At 44.9% G+C, this 22670-nt stretch overlaps 1 long non-coding RNA gene and 1 pseudogene across 2 annotated transcripts in view, besides 3 other annotated features; one reads left to right on the forward strand and one right to left on the reverse strand.

Annotated features, from left to right (window-relative positions):
- The window catches only part of LINC02773 (long intergenic non-protein coding RNA 2773), a 36718-nt gene that overhangs the window by 2741 nt on the left and 11307 nt on the right, over positions 1-22670 (reverse strand). For both annotated transcript variants that reach the window (NR_183482.1, NR_183483.1), the window contains exon 3: positions 704-895. This is a non-coding gene — a long non-coding RNA (long intergenic non-protein coding RNA 2773). The remainder of the gene's footprint in view (positions 1-703; positions 896-22670) is intronic.
- Positions 5147-5266: a silencer, noted in NCBI's record as "silent region_1801". NCBI's record gives its function as "represses an Ori minimal core promoter by ATAC-STARR-seq in GM12878 lymphoblastoid cells {active_cell/tissue: GM12878}" and the evidence as "EXISTENCE:reporter gene assay evidence [ECO:0000049][PMID:35858748]".
- Positions 5775-6974: an enhancer, noted in NCBI's record as "BRD4-independent group 4 enhancer chr1:212810785-212811984 (GRCh37/hg19 assembly coordinates)". NCBI's record gives its function as "activates an origin of replication core promoter dependent on BRD2, P300/CBP, MED14 and CDK7 cofactors, and independent of BRD4, by STARR-seq in HCT116 cells {active_cell/tissue: HCT116}" and the evidence as "EXISTENCE:reporter gene assay evidence [ECO:0000049][PMID:35650434]".
- Positions 14595-15104: an enhancer, noted in NCBI's record as "H3K4me1 hESC enhancer chr1:212819605-212820114 (GRCh37/hg19 assembly coordinates)". NCBI's record gives its function as "activates a minimal SCP1, AML or CMV promoter by ChIP-STARR-seq in naive H9 embryonic stem cells {active_cell/tissue: H9 hESC(naive)}" and the evidence as "EXISTENCE:reporter gene assay evidence [ECO:0000049][PMID:30033119]".
- Positions 15606-18651, forward strand: RFKP5 (RFK pseudogene 5; annotated as a pseudogene).

Consider the following 22670-nt stretch of genomic DNA (forward strand, 5'->3'; position numbering starts at 1 on the left):
GGAAAATGTGGACAAATATAGTACATTTTTCGTAAAACTGTTCATAAAGTTAAATTTAGTTTTTAAAGACTTGTTCTGGCTGGGCATGGTGGCTCACATCTGTAATCCCAGAACTTTGGGAGGCTGAGGCAGGCAGATCACCTGAGGTCAGGAGTTCAAGACCAGCCTGGCCAACATGGTGAAACCCTGTCTCTACTGAAAATACAAAAATTAGCCGGTCTGGTGGTGCACGCCTGTAATCCCAGCTACTCGGGAGGCTGAGGCAGGAGAATTGCTTGAATTTGGGAGGCAGAGGTTGCAGTGAGCCGAGATCCCGCCACTGCACTCCAGCCTGGGCAACAGAGCAAGACTCTGTCTCAAAACAAAATAAAACAAACAAACAAACAACAACAAAAAAACTGTCCTTTGCTTTGAGACTATGTCCTTCCTCCTGTATCTTAATGTTTCATTTTGAAGTATATCACACATGCAGAGCAGTGCACAGGTCAAAAGCATACCACTCAATGGTATTTCATAAAGTGAGCAACCCCATGCAACTAGCACCCAGATGAAGAACCAAAACATCACGGTACCCCCAATACCCCTCTCATGTTCTCTTTCAGTCACTACCCCTAAGGGTAACCACTATCCTAACTTCTAACACCATAAATTAATGTTGCTTCCTTTTCCCACTATATATAAATGGAATCACAAAATAATGTACTTTTTTGACTGTGGTTTCTTTCAGCATCATGTTTATGAGATTTGTCCATGTCTTTTCTGTTAATAGTTCATTCATTCTCTTTGCTATACAATATTCCATGGTGTGAATATAGTACAATTTCATTCTGCTGTTGATGGGCATTTGGGTTATTTCCACTTTCTGGATACTAAAACATCACTGCTTCTCCCTTGACTGGAGCAAAAAAAAAAAAAAAAAAAAAAAAAAAAGAAAAGATTACTGCTATGGACATTTGTACACAGATCTTTTGGTTAAAACGCTCATAAATTTTTGTAGGATATATACTTAAGAATACAATTGAATATATGCATATTTTCAGCTTTAGTGGATACTACCAAGCTATTTCCTAAAGTGGCTATGCCATTTTACACTGCCACCAGGCATATATGAGAGTTCTGGTTGTTTCATATCTTTGTCAAAATTTGATAGTGTTTATCTCTTTCATTTTAGCCATTCTGGTTGGATGTAGTACCTTTTCTCCCTTTTTCATGATAAACTGTACTTTAAAAAATACAACATGGCTGGGCACAGTGGCTCATGCCTGTAATCCTAGCACTTTGGGAGGCTAAGGTGGGAGGATCACTTGAGCCCAGGAATTTGAGACCAGCCTGGGCAATATAGTAATGATACAGGAGTTAAGAAGAAATTACTTAGGCAGATAGTGAGGGTCTGGGAGTCCTTGGTAAGGTTTTTCTTTTCATGAAAAGCAGTCTCAAAATAGTTTTTTGTTTTTTTTTCTACAAAGAGCAGCCTGTAAAATCGAGCTGCAGACATAGGTAAGCAAGCTGGAAGCTTGTACAGGTGAATGCCAGCAGTTGTGCCAACAGGAAAAGGCTACCTGGGACTAGGCATGTTCAAAATGGCAGCTTCATCTTCCCTTCCCTTTGTCAAACCACATGTACAGTAAGGAGAAGACAATATGGCGCCAGCCAGGCAAAGACTCCATTTACATAATAAGATTAGGGTGGGGCATGCAGCCTTCCGTGAATACTATGTAAACATCATACTGGTCAAACCAATCTGTGAACCCTACATAAATCAGACACTGCCTTCTCAAGCTTGCCTATAAAATCGGGTGTAGTCCACCGCAGGCTGGGTTTTCCCCTTTGGGAGCCCCTCTCTTTTGCAAGGGAGAGAGCTGTTCTCCTTTCTCTTTCTTTTGCCTATTAAACCTCTGCTCCTAAACTTACTCTTCATGTGTGTTCATGTCCTTAATCTTCTTGGCTCGAGATGATGAACCCGGGTATTTACCCCAGGCAACAACACTGCTTCATTGAGACCTCATCTCTACTAAAAAAAAATTAAAAATTAGTTGGGCATGGTAGTGCATACCTGTATTCCTGGCTACTTGGAAGGCTGAGGTGGGAGGACGATTTGAGCCTGGGACAGGGAGGGTGCAGTGAACCAAGACTGCGCCACTGCACTGCAATGTGTGTGGCAGAGTGAGACTCTGTCTCAAAAACAAAAACGATATAATGACCTATAGAAGATGGTAGTTTTGTACTAAAGTCCTTAATGGGCAAATTGAAAGTTGGCTTCCAGATTTCTTTTTTTTTTTTTTTTGAGACGGAATCTTACTCTGTCACCCAGGCTGGAGTGCAGTGGCACGATCTTGGCTCACTGCAAGCTCCACCTCCCAGGTTCATGCCATTCTCCTGCCTCAGCCTCCTGAGTACCTGGGACTATAGGCGCCTGCCACCACGCCCAGTTAATTTTTTGTATTTTTTAGTAGAGACGGGGTTTCACTGTGTTAGCCAGGATGGTCTCGATCTCCTGACCTTGTGATCCACCTGCCTCAGCCTCCCAAAGTGCTGGGATTACAGGCGTGAGCCACCACGCCCAGCCTCCAGATTTCTTTTGAAATTTCACACCTCTAAAATCTTGAAGTCTTATTTATACATTTTTAAGGATTTTTCATTGCTGTTTGAAACAAGCGTTTAAAAAACAAAAACAAAAAAATCTCCTGCCATCCTGTTCCAGTGTGTTTTGTTTTATAAAAAAAATCTAGGCACAAACACAGCAGGAATTTGGGTAGGGCTCAGCTAGGTGATTCTTCCGCTCCCTGTGGTATAAAGTGAAATTGATCAGTAATACTTAGCTGCAGCATGGGCTGGTCTGGAGAGTCCAAGATAGCTTCATTCACTTATTTGATAAGCCTTGAGGGAAATGATTAGAAGGCAGGGTTCAGCTAGGATTGTCAACAGGAATGCCAATGTGTGGCTTCTCCAGCACAATGGCCTCAGGTAGTCAGATTGGCTTCCCTCAGAACAAATGTCTCAAAGTAACTAAGGGAAAGCTGCTTCTGACCAAGCCTCAGAAGTCACTTGGAATAACTTCCACCACATTTTATTGTTCATGCAAGTCTTACGGCCAGCTCAGATTTAAAGGGAGAGAAACTAGACTGCATTTATCTTGGTAGAGAAATGGCAAGATCACATTGTATAACAGCATGTGAGATGGCAATACTATTGTGACTCTCTTTGAAAAAATACCATTTTCCACACCCTCACAATCTACCCTGCCCCTAAGAAAGTAAACCTGGCCAGGATGTATCTGAAGAGTACTGAGAAATTGCAGCAGACATCTCTATCTTTTGTACTTTCCTTATCTCCCTCTTTTACACTCTGCCTTCTTCCACCTTTTCACTTTATTTTCTTACTTCCCTTTCTTTCCCCCAGTCTTTTAGTTAACTAAACTCACAAGGACATATCTTAGTGTGTTCCTCCCCATCTCTCCTACACATCTGTAAATCTTTGATCCCTGGGTGACAGAGAGATTACTGGGACACTTAGACCATAGCATGTCAGGCTTGGAAGGGTCTTGACTAATCCCAGATGCACTTTTACATATGAGGAAATTGAGACCTAGAGAAGGGACTTTCCCAAGGTCCTACTTCAAGTAAGTAGCAGAGTTCTGGCTAGCACAGCAAAAATCATAGCCTAGAGTGGGTCTCAAAGAATGTCAACAGCTTCCTTTCAGTTTCAAATGCCTGGAACTAAAGCCACTTGTTTCTGTTTCACATTAATTGCCTCATCATTCCAATGTCTTTAGGCCTCTTGGTGAAGGAATGAAACCAATGCTAACAGGCCCCTGTGCCCAGAGAGGCCTGCCCCAGCCCTGGCTTTGGTCCCAGTCTTCAGAGATGGATGAGGGGCTTGTGAATGGAGCAAGCTGGGATCAGTGCAACAGCCCCTGCATCCAGCCCCTGACACCCCCGACATAGCAGCTGCTCCTTTCTAGTGCTGAAGTCCAGGGATTCTCTGAACTCTAACACCAACTGGCAGCCTATAGTCCACTTTTGAAATCTTCTGGGCATCTAGAGATGGTGAATTTAGCTGATAATGACTGCGGTCAGGCCGAGGATAAATCTGAGGTGATATAGGCCAAGAAAACACAACTCTCTGGTCAGGCCCAAGAGACAGCAACTCCGTCATGTTCAAGTCTGTTTCCTCTGATAACAGCTCCAAACAGGCGGAAGCTAGGGGTCGAGGTGGGGGTTGGGGGAGCCCAAGTGGGGCCACCAGCCATCCCATAGCATTAGCGGCTGGATCTTGAGAGGAAGGGCAAGGCTGCAGTAAATGGAGGGGCTTGGCACCGTGCTCCGGAATCCGAATAGTTAGTGATGTGGAGAAAGACCTTCTAAGAAGCCTCTCAGAACTTCTTTTTAAAAATCCACCAGCACATTGCTTTTAGCTGCAAGACAGCAGCTCTGCAAATCAGTGATAAGCTGAGAGTGCCACCTGGGTGTGCTGTCACCGTGGGGCCACAATGAAAGCCTCAAGGCTTCTGTGTGCCTGGGGCAGGGGGAGAAATAGTCTCCATGGACGACTCTGTTGATAAGAAGGGACTGAGATAATTATTTTAATTGGTATAGCCTGCAACCTCCTTTAGGGGAGTGGCCGTGTTTCTGGGTATCCAGGTCTACCACAGTTTGGCACATATTAGGAGCTCCACAAATACTTGTTATAAAGACCTTCTGGTCCTCCATCCAGGCATGATGGCATCCGTACATCCCCTCCTCCCGGCCTCCTTCCAGCAGATCTCCGCTAGCTCTGACAGGAGGCCTAGGACAGGGAGAAACCCCACTAAGGATTTTTGGTTTCTCCTGGGCACAGATTCAAGACTAACCAACCTTCCCCAGGGGCCCTCAAAGGGGAGTGGTAGAAACAAGTTATGGAGGGGCCTGTGCCTTTCTTCGTGCCAGGGTCCCTCCTTCCAGCTTGTGGATTCCTTCTCTCCAAAGAAAGGAAGGGACTATTTCTTTCCCTTATACTCTCCTAAAAAAGGAAAGGAAAACTTAAAACAGGAAGAAACATCATTAAACCAGATGATACATCGTCAGCTAACAGTGTCATTTCCCAACCTGTGGTTGGCCAGAGCCTGAACCTGGCCCTCATCCACACAGTGTGCTGCCGTGGCTGCAGCAACTGAAGTTGAAATTGTAAGAGCAGCTGCCACATCGGGCACGGAGCCAAGCAACTGGGGGCCCATCCGGTGTTTCTCTCCAAGCTCTGCAATCTTTCTATTGCATCTTATCAGGGCTGCCGTGTGTCATCACAGCCTCTACTGAGTGCTTCCTCTCTGCCAGCCACTCTTCTAAGAGCTCTACAGGGATTATTGTGCTTAGTTCTTTCCCCACAACTCTATGAAGTAGGCATTATTGTTCCCATACAGATGAGGAAACTGAGGCATAGAGGAGTTACAAGAACTTACCCAAGGCCCCCAGAGGTGCAGCCAGGATTAAATCCCAAGGGGGTGACACTGGAGCCCACACTCCTGGCCCCATCATGGGCTGACTCTGCAGAACGCACGGCCTTAGAAGGCTTCCAACCTACACTGTGGTGAGTGGCTGGTCTACAGTCAGCAGTCAATCAGCTCCATGCCTTAGAGCATTGGGTACCATACTAGGTGCCACTCTCTCCCCTGGCTGGGGGACCGCTCCGTTTCTGCCGCAGGCATTGCCTTTCCCTCAGGCACAGGAGTGTCTTGGCCACAGGGAGAATGAGCTACATGTGTGGGTAGCGGAGCAGCTTGTAATTTCTAGAAAGAGAACTTGGAGTCCCATCTTGCTGTCATCTGCTGCGTCTGGATTCACTTTCAAATTTCTCGTCTGTACCTGTGGGCTCTTTGTGACACCTCAGACAGTCCCAGGACAGACCTCAGCAAGAAACCCCAGTATAACATAACCTGCCTGGCAAAAGAAAATAGAAACAGGCCAGGCGCAGTGGCTTATGCCTGGAATCCCAGGACTTTGGGAAGCTGAGCTGGGCGGATCACCTGAGGTCAGGAGTTCGAGACCAGCCTGACCAACATGGAGAAACCCCATCTCTACTAAAAATACAAAATTAGCTGGGAGTGGTGGCGCATGCTTGTAATCCCAGCTACCCAAGAGAATGAGGCAGGAGAATTGCTTGAACCCGGGAGGCAGAGGTTGCGGTGAGTAGAGACTGCACCGTTGGGAAACTCTGTCTCAAAACAAACAAACAAACAAACAACAGAATAAACAAACAAGAAAATAGATACAGCCCCTGCCTGACCATACACTCTCTGCCTTTAAACAGAAACTTCCTAGATCACCACGTCCCCTTTCCATTCTCAACTAGCCATGCAGTGCTTGCCTGCCGGCTTGCCTCTACTTAACCCCCGAATCTTGCCCCCTCTTACCTCTCCTCTCTGGCTCTCTCCTGTTCCTACGCTAGGGATCCACTTCCCACGGGCTGTCTCAATCCTGAGTCAGATTCTCTGTCCTCCTCCTTCTACATCTGCTCCCACCCCTGTACCCAGCTCACTCTCTTTCTCCCACACTCTGTCTTTATTCCAACTCCTTGCTTTTTCCTGGCTTCCTTGCCTTTTTGCCTTTACCCAAAACTGAGGATCCCTCCTCACCCAACTCCTAGCCCATCAAACACAACTCCCACACCTACCGCATAACTCTAATCCTCTCTCCTAGGCTCCAACACATTGAGGATGAAGCCTCAGGGTCCAGACAACAGAGGACCCCCTGGCAGGCTTCTTAGTGGGCCCAGGGTGAAAATCTGCTGGCCAAGGGGATGATGAGACCTGTTTCTTACAACTCAGTGCTGTGTGCTCTGAGGCTGAAGCTGTCTTCCTCTGCCATTTCCCAGGGGCACAGAAGCTTGAGCCTTTTTGCATTAATTCCCTGGCTTGCTTTGACTCAGAGTCCAGGACTTTGTAGCATGCTAATTTATGCAAACCAAATGCAAACGAATATAGAAAACTATGTGACCCTTGATTTACTGGAAATCAGAGGCTCCCCTTACGGGAAGACTTAGGGAAATTTTGGAATCTACTTCCCAAGAGAAATATTAAAATAGAATGGCTTTCAGTTTGGGGTCAGGGAGGGATGTGGCTAGAAGTCATTCAGAGGAAAGAGCACAGTCTGGGTTCCGTGTGCATCCTCTAAGCCACCCAACAGAAGGCAGAGGAAGAAAAACCATCTGGCTGCCAAGCCTGTGCCTCCTTTCTCCTGTCTTGACTCTGAGCTCTGGTTTAGCTCCACAGCCTGTCAAAACCACCCAACAATGTGCATGCCCAAGAACAGAGCCTCTGGGCTGTACTGCCTCTTTGGAAACAGGGTCATTTTATTTATATCTTACTTCCCATGACAGCACTTCACTATTCTCCTCTTCCCTTACATCTCCCTACACTGACCCTCTTGAACTTGGCTCTCACTGGGTATGGCCTGTCAAGTGCACAGAATGTTCTGGGACATTGTTCTGGAACCCGATCAGGGGTTAGGCATTCTGGAGATTCCTATAAAGCAGCCCTCAGAGGATTGCTAAGGGGCAGGTCAACTCAGCCACAAAGGCTTAGGTGCCTCATTTCTTGAAGAAGGGAGAAAAGGACCACTCTGAGAAAGGACAGGAGGGATGCAGGTGGCCCCTGAAGCCTCAGCCCATTCTTCTGATCCTAAACAGAAATGTGCTGAACGACCCCAAAATATAGAAACTGACCTCTTCTGGCCAGGAGCAGTGGCTCATGCCTGTAATCCTAGCACTTGGCAGATCGCTTGAGCACAGGAGTTCGAGACCAGCCGGGGCAACATGGCAAAACCCAGTCTGTACAAAAACACAAACAAATTAGCTGGGCATGGTGGCACCTGTAGTCCTTGCTACTCGCTATTCAGGAGGCTAAGGCAAGAGGATCACTTCAGCCTGGGAGGCAGAGGTTGCAGTGAGCTGAGATGACACCAGTGCACTCCAGCCCGGGCAACAGAGCCAAACCCTGTCAAAAAAGAGAAAGAAAGAGAGAGAGAGAGAGAGAGAGAGAGAGACAGAGAGAGAGAGAGAGACAGAGAGAGAGAGACAGAGAGAGAGAGAGAAAGAAAAAGAAAAGAAAAGAAAGAGAGAAAGAAAAAGAGAGAGAGAAAGAAGAAAAGAAAGAAAGAAGGAAGGAAGGAAGGAAGGGAGGGAGGTGAAAAGAAAAGAAAAGAAGAAAAAAGAAACTGACCTTTTCTTAAAGATCTCAAGAGAAGGAAAGAGTCTTCTTTCCAAAGTCTTTGTAATAGTCCAGTAGTTTCATCAGATTTTTTTCCTTCTATTAACATAAATGCTTGGTGCTGCCATGGAAGTCATTTTGTTCTGGTACTTTCCTCAAGGTAACTAAAGAACCACTGTTCCTGGTTATTCAGATAATAGCTCAGCAAAACCTTCACATATGTTGTGAAAAGACCTTAAGAAAAACTCCCTCAAGCTTCAGGGACCACCTTGCTGCCTCCCTGAAAGATCACTCAAACTCAACCCTCTACTCCCAGGGCATAGGAGCTGTGTGTGCTGATCCATATTCCCCTAATGAGATAAAAGTTTGCTGAAGGACAACTTTCAACTAGCCAATATTTGGGATTGGCCAGAGGAAGGAAAAAGTGCTCATCTGTATATTTAAAATGGGAAGGGCGCACTGGGTACCAAGCACTTCATGTATACTATTTCCTCTAAGTCTCACAACAGTCCCACGAGATCTGTATTACTCCCATTATACAGATGAGGGAACTAAGGCTAAGAAAGTTGAAGTCATTTGCTCAATGTCACAAAGCTGATGAATAGCTGTGGCAGAACCTCTTAATGCTCATTAGTATCCATTTTCTTCATTTTTAGACACATGCTCAACTACATTTCCTAGCTCTCTTGCAGCTAGGCAGGCCACATGACTGAGTTCTGGCCACTGAAATGGGGACAGAAGTGATTTTTTTCCACTTTCAGGCCTGGCCCATAAAGACTTTGCAGATGAACCTCCACTTCCCTTTTTCACATCACTATCTGGATGACCCAGGGTACCATGGAGCCATGTGATGAAGATGGGAGGAGCTTGGATCCCTGAATGACTACATGGAACAGAGCATCCTTCATCCTGCCCTCTGCCCCCTGCACTAGACTATGACTTAGATGAGATAAAGTTTCACTGTGTTATGCCACTGAGAGTTTATCCTCAATAACAGCGTGTTGGGGTCAAGATCTGAAACCAAGCATGTCAAACTCCAAAGACCATCTTTTCTCATTAAGCCGTATGGCCAAACAATATAGCAGAAATGCAAAAGTTAAACTATAAAATGTTATCTACTTCGTCTCTCCCCCTCTGTGCGTCTCCCATAACCAAGAACTAGATTCCTAGAACCAAGAACTTTAGATTCCTAAAGATTTTAGAGAAATTGCCTATACAAAAACATAAAATCAAGCAAGTAACTGATAAATATTTGTTGACTGCATACAACAACATGGGAGAAAAAACTGCTTTTGTTGTTATTGGAGAGCTGGAGAAACCCTTTCAGCATTCATGCCAAAAAGAGTCCTCTCCACCACCTTCGTCCAAGAACCACGTCCACCTGTGGCTTCATCCCATGTATGTGGAGCTATGAATTTAGAGGACATGGAACATGGTTGTGGCCATTATGAAAGCCTACCAAAGACATGGAACGTGGTTGTTGCCATCATGAAAACCTACCAAAGCCATTATCAGTGATTGATAGCTCACCATTGCATCCTGTCATCCCTGCCCCAAGCCAATGAGAGCTGAGTAAATATCATATAAAGACTACACTATGATCATGACAAAAGAAACAGACTTAATCAGCCTTTCCCCCATAGGCTGTCATTCTACAAAATATAAGCTAAGATTAACCAGTAGTTTTGGCATGATAGAATCAGACCAATCTGATTTTGAAATGAGGGGCAGGAAAAGGATTATTGGCAAGAAGGGAAAAATAAAGGGTAAAGGTTTTAAAATTTTTCCATTAAGATAGGAAATTGGCCGGGCGAGGTGGCTCACACCTATAATCCCAGCACTTTGGGAGGCTGAGGCGGGCAGATCACCTGAGGTCAGGAGTTAGAGACCAGCCTGGCCAACATGGTGAAACCCCGTCTCTACTAAAAATACCAAAAAATTAGCCGGGTGTGGTGGCAGGTGCCTGTAATCCCAGCTACTTGGGAGGCTGAGGCAGAAGAATTGCTTGAACCTAGGAGGTGGAGGTTGTAGTGAGCCGAGGTCGTGCCATTGCACTCTAGCCTGGGCAACAAGAACAAAACCCTGTCTCAAAAAAAAAAAAAAAAAAAAAAGATAAGAAATCCTTTAGGCATAATTTACAGGGGCTAGGAAGATCTCTCCTGTTCCCCTCAAACATTTCCACCAAGGTCTAGAGAATAATTAATTGTTTTTTTTTTCTTTTTTTTTTTTTTTGAGACAGCCTGTTGCCCAGGCTGGAGTGCAGTGATGTAAACACAGCTCACTGCAGCCCCACATGCTTGGATTATGAGTGTTGAGCCACTGTACCCAGTGAGAGAATTGATTCTTGGTCTTAACACTTTGTCCCTCCCCCTTTAAATGCTGGGCTGGTCTCTCTGGAAGAGTAACCCACAACTGTCTTATTAATCAATTATGCTTTATTGTGATTCCGGACTTGGGGGGAATTAATATTTATTGAGTCCTTATAATCTGCCAATTATGGTTTCAGGATCTTTAAATACATTGTTTTGGCTGAGTGTCGTGCCTCAGACCTGTAATCCCGACACTTTGGGAGGCTGAGGCGGGAGGACTGCTTGAGGCCAGAAGTTTGAGACTAGCCTCGGCAACATAGTGAGAATCTCTCTCTACAAAAATTTTAAAAATTATCTAGGCATGGTGGCACGTGCCTGTAGTCCTAGCTACTCACGGGAGGCTGAAGCGGGAAGATCACTTGACCCCAGGAGTTTAAGGTTGCAGTGAGCTGATGACACCATTGCACTCCAGGCCAGGCAACAGAGCAAAATGCTACCCTTCAAAACAACAACAACAACAACTACATATATTTTTTTTTACTCAATTTTCACCTTTTACAGATGGGCAAACTGAGACTCAGAGAAATTTGTAATGGCCCATGACCACAGTGGCGGAAGCTGGATTTGAACTCAGCTTTGTCTGATTCCAAAGCCCTTGCTCATTGCACTATGCCAGTGTTTCTTTTTTTTCTTTTCTTTTTTTTTTTTTTTTTTTGAGATGGAGTCTCGTTCTGTCAACCAGGCTGGAGTGCAGTCATGTGGTCTTGGCTCACTGCAACCTGCACCTCCCAGGCTCAAGTGATTCTCGTGCCTCAGCCTCCCAAGTAGCTGGAACTACAGGTACCTGCCACCACGCCCGGCTAATTTTTTGTATTTTTAGTAGAGAGGGGGTTTCACCAAGTTAGCCAGGATGGTCTCGATCTCCTGACCTTGTGATCCGCCCACCTCGGCCTCCCAAAGTGCTGGGATTACAGGCATGAGCCACCACGCCCGGCCGCTAAGTGTCTTTAATTGTGTAGCAGAGACACTAGCTGTCCCACTGTAAATACTTTCTCCTTCTCCCTCAATACTACAACCTCCAACTTGTGTCTGGATCCAAGGCTGTCTGGAGTAAAGACTATGCTTCCCAGCCTTCCTTGCAGCTAGGTGTGGGCATGTGACTAAGATCTGCCAATGAGATCTGTAAATGGAAAGATGTGATCAGGGCTGATAGTTACACCACATGCCCAGATAGAGATGTACCTGTTGTTTATAGCTGGTATTCGTTCTGATTAACTGAAACCCATGCCTTACTGGTCGTTAAATATTTCCAAAATTACTCCCGGTGTAAAACTTTTAAGAAGTCTCCTTAAAGGGACAGGCATGTCCTTCTGCCATCCTTCAGTCTTCCTTCCTGCTGGCTAGAATGTGGACCCTGATCACTCACTCCACTTTGGATCATGAAGATGAGGGCCACAACCTGAAGAGGGTGAAACTGAAAGCTGGAAGGGTCCTGGGTCTCGGTGACTCCTTGGATGGCCTACCTTTGGACTTTTACATGAGAGAAGAAAACCTTTTTGTGTTAAGTCACTGGTCATTTGTGTTTTCAGTCTTTCTCAAAATAACTGTATTCTAGGGTTTGCTCTGACCATGCTGCTTAACAAACAACCCTGAAATCTCAGATGGCAATTGTATTTATTTCTCATTCAATAGCCTGCACATCGGATGTTGTGGCTCCGCTTCAGGCTGTGGGTCTTTGTCCTGGGACTAGCAGACACTCAGGACAAGCTCTAGCAGACACTCAGGACAAGCTCTCCTCATGACCAGTAAAGCTCAGGAGATGAAGCCAAAACACACAAACCCATTTAAAGCTCCTGCTAGTGTTTCTCTCATATTCCATTGGCCAAAACAAGTCACAAGACAGCCTGACATCAAGGGGAGAGAAAATAGGGGAAGAAAGGATAAACACATGCTGTTGATACACAGAATTGATACATGTGCAACCCAGGCCTACAGCTCACAGGCACCAGGGGCTTCTGAACATTCTGGGCTCCTTCCAGCCCTCCCAGCATCGCTGAGGCGGGGTGGGGGGACCACTGCTCCCTCCCTGATCATGGCCTGAAATTCCAAGTGTTTGCCCCCCACCCCAACCCCAAGGACACTACCAAGTAGGTGGCAACAGGAAAGTCTCTCTTCCTTTGACTGCCCCTCTCTACAGTCACCCCAGACCACACACCAGGCTGTACAGGTGTCTCTGGCAGTCTTTCCCAAAGGGGTGAGGGGAAATGTTAAAGCTGGGAGCTCTGCTGCCTTACATTTGTGTGTCTCCCAAGGCTCCCCTTCTTCCAAACTTCCTTTGAGAATTTCTACCCAGTGGCTGTGTGCAGGTCCTTCCCACACATCCAGGAGCACCTGGCACTTCTGGAAGTTTGCTCAGAAGAGGAAGGAAGTGCATTTCCTACAGTTCCCCAATGAACCTCTCCCAGGGCCTCATCATCCAACTGCCAGGACCCACCCCCAATTCATTAACCATAAGGTTTAGGGAGGGGACTTGGCAAATCAGCCTCAGCCATATCCAAATGCCTGAAAGAAAACACCAAGAGAAGTTGGGGGGCAGGGTGAACGTTGGGGATATTGCCAGTAGGTAAGTGGGTCTGGGGGAAGAACAGACCTGGAAGATTTTACCACTGACTATGTGACCTCTGGCAAACCAATCTCTTTTCTGGGCCTTTATTTGTTTTAGTGTTGTTTTATTTGTTGAAAGAAGGGGATTGCCCTTGATGGCATTTAAGGTTTCTTCTAGTTCTAACAGCCTGTGATCTAAGGAGCAAGGGGTGAGAAGGAAAAGACCAGCAGATGGGTGCCCAGAGGGACACAGCACGGTGGGGGCCCAGTCATCTGGGGATAGCATGAGGCTAAAGTTCAAGTTCTTCAGCCCTTATCAGATTGTAGTCCTTATCACCAAGCTTAGCTTTACCTCTCAGCCACATTCAGGGCCATGGACTAAGGCCACGAAAATTGTGCACAACAGGGGCTACCTATCATGATGACTGCAGTATGTATGGCATCCCCTGGAGTTAGAGCAGTTCTGTCCTCATCGGTCACCACTCTCTGCCTCAAACCTCAGTTCCAGCAACTCCAAACTACCTTCAGTTCTCAGCACACGTCATGGTGCCTTCCGCAGTTCCCTCTCCCTGCTACACCACTATCCCTTGATCTCCCTTCCCCTGCCCCAACCTTCCTCTGACTATTGCCTACTCATCCTTCAACATTCAGCTGAGTGTCCTCCCCACCCAGGTTCAGAGCCCCTCTGCGTTACTCCCATAATGCCTTATTACTGCACTCACTACACTGTATTGTACCTATCTGCTGTGAACCTCAAACTACTGTCTTACTAGACTCCAAGCTTTCTTGGGGGCTGAGGGGAGAAATTGTATCTTATCTATCTTATTTTATGCCCAATGTCTTTCACAATACCAGACAAATGATAAACGGGCAATGTTTGATGCATGAACAAAGAAACAAACGAACTGGGAAGGAAAACTAAAAGGAATGTCACATGCAGATGGTATAGGCCACCTTTGTTTCTCCCCCACACTCCAGCTGCCACACATACTACATCTATAGTTCAGTGAAATCATGTCAATAAACACCAAGGGTGAATGGTAACCTTTGAGCTAGGGAAAATAAATTGCCTGGGGAAGAAGCCTGTTGTCTGGTAGGCAAGAAAAGCCTTCCTTAGTGATGGTGGAGAGGAGAGTAAGGTTGGGGTGTAAGGTCGACTGGGGGCAGGATAGTCAGGAAAGAAGTCTCGAGGCGAGCAGGACTTGAGGGGCCAGTGGGGAGGAGGCTGGGTTTGGTGGGCAGATGGAGACCAAGCTGTCACACACCTGTGGCTCCACCGAGACAAGAAAGAGCCTGTGGCCTGGCCAGAGAGGGAGAAGAGGATTTGAGATGGAAATCTGAGTATGAGGTGTATGAGAGCAGTGGGAGAGCTCCAGCTGAAGGGGACTGAGACACAGAGGGACCCAGAGGGCAGAAGGAGGTGGCGCCCCTCCGCCCCCTTCTCCCACTCCCCCGGACTGTGCCCAAGGTGTCCAGAGCTGCCTCAAGCCCGGTGGTCTAAGCAGGAGACTTGGTGACGCTCCTTCAGGGACTGGCTTCAGGAAGTTAACTGGGCCTGATAATCTGGCGGAAATTTCTGTTTGTTTAGAGAAGATGATTAAAATTGCCTAGTCACTGGATTTGAATACTCAAGAATGAGTTTAATTGAGAAGAGAATGTTTCTTTTTAGATGAGGCAATAACCACCATTGCTGGGTTTGTTTGCACCAAGGGGAAGAACTTAAATATCTGAAATGTAACATGTCCTAAGATGATGGCCGGGGTGGGAGCCAGGGCTGACATGAAGTGTAAGGATTGAACCTTACCCTGAAACCTCCATTAAAGAGGTCACTTAGCACGGATTAAAATCCAGGCATTCACGTCAACATACCCTATTGAATCTGCCCTCTCTGGAGCCAGGAGCAGCCAGTTCAGGACTTTCACTGGCCTGGCACCTGGCTCTGGTCTCACTTTACTTCCCATCGCAGTCTGTCGGTCCAGAGGCAGCACTGTGCGACTGCAAGTGTTTGGGCTGTGTGCGCATGTGCAGGTGCGGGTGTGCGCATGCACATCGCTGGCTGTGCGCGGTCTTGCAGCGTGCTTAGGCAAACCTCGCCCCCACCTGGGTCCGGGGCCTCAGCATGGTGAAACTGATGCTGTGCGAACACGTGTTTGATTCAGTTTAAATGGAGGTGGTGCGGACGAATCAAAGTTTTGCATCAATACGGTAGAACTTGCATAATCCAAGACCACCTGTTTCTTTTCTCTGCCTTCCCCATCCAAATCATCCCCAAATCATCCGTGAGAAGCCTCTGCTCCCATCAGTGTCATCCCTGGGGGACCCCATCAGAGAAGGGTGTGGGAGAAGCAGGTGCAGGTCACAGTCCTCCCTAGTCCATCTGCCTCAGAAACTATTCCTGGGGTCGGCGGCGTGAGGGACCCACCACCACGTGTCGTGGGCATTTGCCCCAGCACAGAGTTCACACCCCGTCCCCCAGGACCCCCTTGTGCGGGGGTCTGGGCAATGCATGGACTGGGCCACAGCCCGTGCCCCAAGCGAATGGACTGCATTCTGAGGCACCTGCTCTATTTCTGCCCAGGCCAGGAGCTGTGGATCCAAGCACTGGGCATGGCCACAGCGAACTTCCCTGAACAAGTAGTACTCTTCCAGCTGATGAGTGCACTGGCATTTATTATGGTCGGGCCAGTGCTGGAAGTGGAGATGTCTATAAGATGATTATGAGGACAGGATGGAACTCATACTCTAAGAAAACAAAGAAGTCCATGGAAACGTATATCATGGGTATCTTCAAAAACGACTTGCGTGGCGAGATCTTCAATGTGGCCATCCTTGGCTACCTCAGACCCGAAAGAACTTTGCTTCTTTAGAGTCACTTATTTCGGCAATTCAAGGTGATATTAAGGAAGCTAAGAAACGCCTACATTTACCAGAACATTTGAAACTTAAAGAAGACCATTTCTTCCAGGTTCCTAAAAGCAAAATAATGAACGGCCACTGATTAAAAAAAAAATCTTATTTATTCATTCACTGTATTCTAGTATTTCACTGCTTACAACTGTCCAGTCTCACCTTGGTTATAGTCTTAAAATCAAACATTTTCCCACAGCTGTGAACTAGTTTAAACAAAACAACACAGTTACTATATTGTGCTTCAATTGTTAAATTGTTAACAGGTTTTATTTATTTAAATACATAAAAAGCTTTATCTAAAAATAAAGATTTTCAAAATATGTTGATTAGAATGTACCACTAGAAGGGTATTAAGTGTCTTATAATGGAAATGAAATGTATATAAGTATGGGTTAAAAGGCAAGCCACTAATTTGAGATGAGAACTATAGTTCTCATGGCAAAAACCTTCATGTATGTACTTGCATAGCATATAGTCCTAAACAGAGAAGGCTTATAAAAGTAAATACATTAAATAGGAGTTGTATAGTTTATTATAAACCTAAGGGGAAAACTCCAGACTTTGTATTTGTGATATATGATGCATTAATATATTATTATAAGCATGAAGACATTTGTGAAACTTTTTTTGTCATTTTCTTTTTTCTTTCTATTTATTTATTTATTTTTATTTTTATTTATTTGTTTATTTTTTTGAGACAGGGTCTTGCCCTGTCACCCAGGTTGGAATACAATGGTGATCAAGGTCTATTGCAGCCTTGACCTCCTGGGCTCAAGCAATTCTCTCACCTCAGCCTCCTGAGTAGTTGGGACTACAGGGTGAGCCACCGTGCTCAGCTCAATTTTAAAATATTTTTGTAGAGACAAGGTCTCCCTACGTTGCCTAGGCTGGTCTCAAACTCTTGGCTGAAGCAATCCTCCTGCCTCAGCCTCTTAAAATGCCAGGATTACAGGCCTGAGCCACTGCACCTGGCCTTTAGTCATTATCTGGGCAGTCACATCATTGCACCATTTTCATTTTTGTATAGAGCTGCTTCGGTTCTAAGTGGTCTAGACTCCCTCTGCATATCTTTATTGTTGTTAAGACAGTAAGATAGATGTTTTTTGAATCTATAGGTTCTCCTTTTTGTTGGATAACACTTCTTTCTTCTTCAGAGTAGATATTCTTGTAGATATCTATAAGACTTTAACATTTTTCTTGACTTTGATTTTTTTCCTTTTTTAGGAAAAACAAAGACACAACAGACTTCATCTTTAGGTTTCCTCAAGATTTAAGTGAACACATAGCCATTAGTTTATATGTACCAGTTTCTTAAAAAAACACACACATAAAATGCTTGTTTTCCCTCTAGCCTAACTATTTAAAGCCAATTAAACTATAAAATACTTAGAAAATTATTTATTCTTAATGTAACTATATGTTCCAGGACAAATCTAAACTGACGTAGTTGTATACACACAATGTAATTTAATGCTAGTCTAAGAATGCTTGTAGCTTGAGAGAAAGGCACAGATTTTGTTAAACAATCTTCATACTGTAGATTTTTTCCTCCTACTGACTGTGATTTTTGGCCACTTGAGTCTTTTTGTTGATATTGGCAGAATGTTGAAATCTTTGGATATTTAGGAAATTAAGATTACAGATTGCGTTGGGCCCCTTCAAACAGTATATTGCATTATAGTTCACTTTAGCAATAGATTTGGTGGTTGGTTTGGTGGAGGGATAGAAGTATACAGAAGGTAATTTTAAAAATAATTCACTATGGATCATTTTTTCCTAATCTGCATAAATGAATTTGAACTGACTTTAATAAAAATATTTTGAAAGTACATAGAAAAACATCTGAAGCAGTTGTTGGAGAAGAGGGAAACATGTATAAATTTAGTTGGATTGTGTTTTACTCTTTGGTGTATGAATTTATGGCAAACAATGCAGCTTGTGGCTTTTCATTTCTTTATAGAGCTATGTAGAAAATACTATTTTTCATATTAGAAATCCTGTACTTGAAAGAAGCCTCAATTATAAGTGGCTTCATGAAGCAAAGTTAAAAACAAACATAGAAAATGTGAAAATATTTGTGTTTGTTTGTCTGACTAGCTTGCTGTTAATTATGTTCTCTTTAAGTGTGTGAATGTTCTTTTATACTTTATAGCCACCTTACATTTTGTTAAATAGCCATTGCTTTTAAGATGGATGGTATGGTGCGTAGAGGTTAGTTAACTGTATCTACATTTTTCAAAGTTTTATATTAACTATTATAAGAAGTTACAAGGCCGGGCGCGATGGCCCACGCCTGTAATCCCAGCATTTTGGGAGGCCGACGCAGGTGGATCACGAGGTCAGGACATCGAGACCATCCTGGCTAACACAGTGAAACCCCGTCTCTACTAAAAATACAAAAAATTAGCCAGGCGTGGTGGCGTGCGCCTATAATCCCAGCTACTCAGGAGGCTGAGGCAGGAGAATCACTTGAACCCAGGAGGCAGAGGTTGCAGTGAGCCGAGATCAAGCCACTGTACTCCAGCCTGGGCAACAGAGCGAGACTCTGTCTCAAAAAAAAAAAAAAGAAGGAAAAAAAAAAGTTACAGTAGTGCCATTTTGATTAGTCTGAATGTTTTCAGGCCTTGAAATAAATTTTGACTAAGTAATTTTTTTTTTCAGAGCAGGAGTGGAAGTTTATTTTAAAAGCTTTAGGCCAGTAAGGAAAAAAAGGAAAGGAAAGAAGGAAAATGCAACTTGGAAGAGGGCCAAGCAGGCGACTCGAGAAACCAAGTGCACAGCTTAACATCTTGACTTGGGGTTTTATTTGTTGGCATACTTCCAGGATCTTATTGGGAAGCTGCTGATCAGTTTCAGGTGTTTTCTATCTATTAGGAGCCTACCTTTCCCTGGCACCAGCTGTGACTAATTATTACTTTAAACAAACTGTTAACAACCGCCTGGCCATCACCTGATGGTTGCCCAACATTTCTGGTGTGTGTGTGGTAGGGAGCCCTCTCCTGCCCTGCTCATACCTGACTAGCTACCTACTGTAACATTTACCCCTGCCTTAAGAGTCCAAGACCCCAAATCTTTGGTGGAAAGTGGATGAAGGTCAGTCTTCTGTAACTGTTTCCTGCTGACAGAGGGGCGGTGGTGGTTCTGTGAGTCTTAGCCTCTCACTGTCTAGGCTGAGTTGGCTCCATGAGTTGCTGAAAGTGGTATCGAACCAGGTCCAAAGAAGACAGAAGCAGGATTTTGCCTCTGTCATATCCCACAATGGGCAGTCTAGAGGCCCCTGTAGAAGGTGATTATTGAATATTGAGAGGATGGTGTCCCTTATTGAGGATGATCTGGAGCTTAATGGCCTTACTTTGAGGTGAAAAGGCATTACTTATCTTTCTGCTTAAAAAGGAACCTCAGATCCTCCAGGGACTCGCAAGCGTGTTCGGGAGCTGAGGGCATTGTTTCCAGCTCTGGTGTCTCGGAGCCTTTCCACAGCTTCACTCAGGTGTGATGTATCCAGCTGGCAATCTCTGAGACTAAGTAATTTTTTTAAATGTTCCTTCTAAGTCTTTTTTTTTCTTTAACAACTCTATTCTTACAATTTCTTAAAATTGTGAACAACTAACCACACTACAAAGTTGGTGGACATAGATACTCACATTATAATCAAAGTAAACTTACCCAGCTGTTAATAAAACTTGCAAAATCATATGAAGCATATAGTCGTGACTTGCTTCCTGGTAATTAATCATGGTGGCCATAAGTAAGTCCAGCCATTGCCTTCCCATTTCCCAGGCTACAGGCTCAATAAGGGCTTTTCAAATTCCTGGATATTAGCTGGGCCATCTGGCTTTGTTTTGGCCGAGTAGCATCCAACTCCTCTTTCCTATTGGAGGGAAATCTCCTATTATATAGTCTTGGTGGGTGGCCATTTTGGAGACTAAAAAGGCCAAGTCTTCCTTCTCTCTGCACTCAGCTATCCAGGTCATAGGCCTGAACCCCAGCCTGAGCCAATACTATATTGCTGCCAAGACTTCAATCTTGAACAAGTGACACATAGCCCAGAAGCAGTAGAATTCTTCTGCCGTGATGAGGAATCCACACCAGGCCACTCCGGCTAAAAGGCATGTATTGTGCTTCCTGGTTTTTTTCTGGGCTGTTTCCTCCAGACTCACACCACACATTTCTTCCAATAAATGTCCTTCCTGGTTACAACCACCAGATAGTCTTGGTTTCTTGCTCCTGAACGCGTTCCCCCTGATTGTGGCAGGCACTGTTGGTCACCCAGTGGCTGCTCCCCTTCCCTTTATTGCTAATAGAACCCCAAGTTTTTATTTCTTCATATCTCTACCTGGCCCAAGTATAGGGACCATGACTGGTCAGTCCTATCCCCTTGTTCAGCGACAGGTCTAAGGTTAGGCCTGTGACCCAGCTCTAGCCAAAGAGACCTGAGGGGAAATGCTGGAAGCTTCTGGGAAAGGCTTTCCTCACTCATTGTGTCCCTGGCCCCTTTCTTCCTGCTTGAGAAGCCACCACATGAGAAGAAAAGCTTGGAGCCACTGCAGCCATCTTGCCACCATGAGGGAAGGCAGCAGCAGCCCTAAAGAAAGCAGAGGGAGCCTGGGTCCTTGATCTCTCGGAGCCACCACAATGACCCTGGAATCACCTCCCTCTGAACTGCAGGTTTTCTCTGATGAATCAACCCTCGTCATTTAGTTCTCTTATACTAAGTGCTTTGTTATTTGCAGCCAAAACATTCTGATAAACTGATTCTCTGAGTTTCACTATTTTCTAAAATAATCATCTGTTGTTGGAGCTGGAAGAGATCTGGGAGAACTTTGAGTTTCTTTGTAATAGAAGAATCTGAGTTGGATATGGAGGCAGAAGCAGAGGGAGAACCCAGGCCTCCTGAGTCTTATCCTGTGATAAGCCTTTTCCTATGGTGGTCTCCCCAGCACCCTGAGGAGGTGCCCAGGACATTTCACAGGGAGCCATGGGGATAGAGCCTGGATTCTGGCATCTGAGAATCATGGGCAAAGGGGCAAATAAGAAGGGGCAGAGTGAGCCTCTGCTGGGCCTGGGCAAGGCTGTGGACTGAGACACATAAGATGCCAGAGCTGTGTTCCTAGCTCTTTCTGTTGGAGCTCCTGTTGTATCCATGAGTGTGTGCATGTGTGTGTGCACATGGGCGCACACAAACCTTTGCCCTGGGTTCCACTTTTCAGCCTCCCTCAGTCTCTAGGATCTCCTGCTTCCCCACCAGCCTGGCAGCAATGTCCTCTTCCTCTCATGGATGAGTACTTTTTGCAGTTTCTGGCTGGTTTCATGCCCTTTACTTTTTTCTTTTTTCTCTTTTTTTCCACCTTTTAGAGCTTTATTTAGAAAGTGTATATGTAAGGAAGTAAAGCCATTTCCATTTACAGTTTACAAACTAGAACCAGTTTGCCTTGGAAGCCCAGTCTGGGTAACCAGCCATGTCCAGGCTGGCACAGAGGAAATCAGCACTCTTCCTGTACACCTGTAGTCAGCAGGTGAGATGAACAGGGCTGAACAGCTCTTTAGTGTCAATTTTCATCACTGTGAAATCACCACTGTATAAATTTCACCACTGTATAAATCTACATTTATAGAGGGTGAAATGGGAACTGCTTTGAAAACAGTAATTGTGAGTGTATTCAAAACCAACCATAATGGAAAAAAATACAAGTGCATCAAATAAAGCCACAGTATTGTTTCTGAATACCATTTGGATAGAACGCATAAGAACGTATTACCACATACACACACGTGTGTGTGCACATGTGCAAAAACTGAAAACCATGTTGCCCAGCCCAGAGTATTTGCACTTTATATGCAGGTGTATAAAAAATATATTGGGCACCTACCAGATGCTCACGTCCTATAGATTAGCAGTTGTTCCCCCAAATCCAATGTAATTCAAGAATTCTCATTTTCAGGAGAAACATTAATTTGGGTAAACCAAGGATTTTTACAGTAAAGATCTATAACGACTTTCAACTGAATTATCCCTTAAGTACATTTGTGTACATGCATATGTAGAAATACATTTACCTTACAATAGGACATAGTATTTTTATTTTTTAAAATGCAGTTTTTTTTAAAAGAAAATTTGCAGAATTTACTACACTAAACCCTTCACTTTTTTCATGCCACTGTACAATTTTTCCTACAGCTGTGCCTGGACCAAAGAGAGCTCAAAGAAAGGCTAAGAATTCACTTCTGGGACTTGGAAAGCTTCAAAAGAGTGAACCAGAACTAGGGGGAACATTGATCCTGGATGCAGCTGGCTGGCAGAGGTGCTGGTGTGCTGTTTCTTCAGAGGTTTCAGGAAGGCCCCCCCATCCCAAAATCACCCTTCCTTCACCTGGGAAGTCAATGCCTGAGACTCCACCATTACAGATACAATGCAAACCTTCCTGGGAGACAAAACTCCTCATATACACCTTAAAGTGAGTTTTTATGATCTTTTCAAGAGGGTCAATGTTGAGAAGAATCCAAGTGGAGAAAGGATGAGGTTGGTTGAGGGTAGCACCAAAAGATTCTCTTTTTCACTCAGAATAGGCGCTGCAAGTCTGTCCTGCTGGTGATGCACATACTGGAGAACAAGAGGGTGGTGGAGAAAATTATGTAAACTTCCAGGGAGAAAATCTGGGCAAGGGGAA

This window comes from Homo sapiens, chromosome 1 (assembly GCF_000001405.40).
Source record: "Homo sapiens chromosome 1, GRCh38.p14 Primary Assembly".
In the NCBI taxonomy this organism is placed as follows: Eukaryota; Metazoa; Chordata; class Mammalia; order Primates; family Hominidae; genus Homo; species Homo sapiens.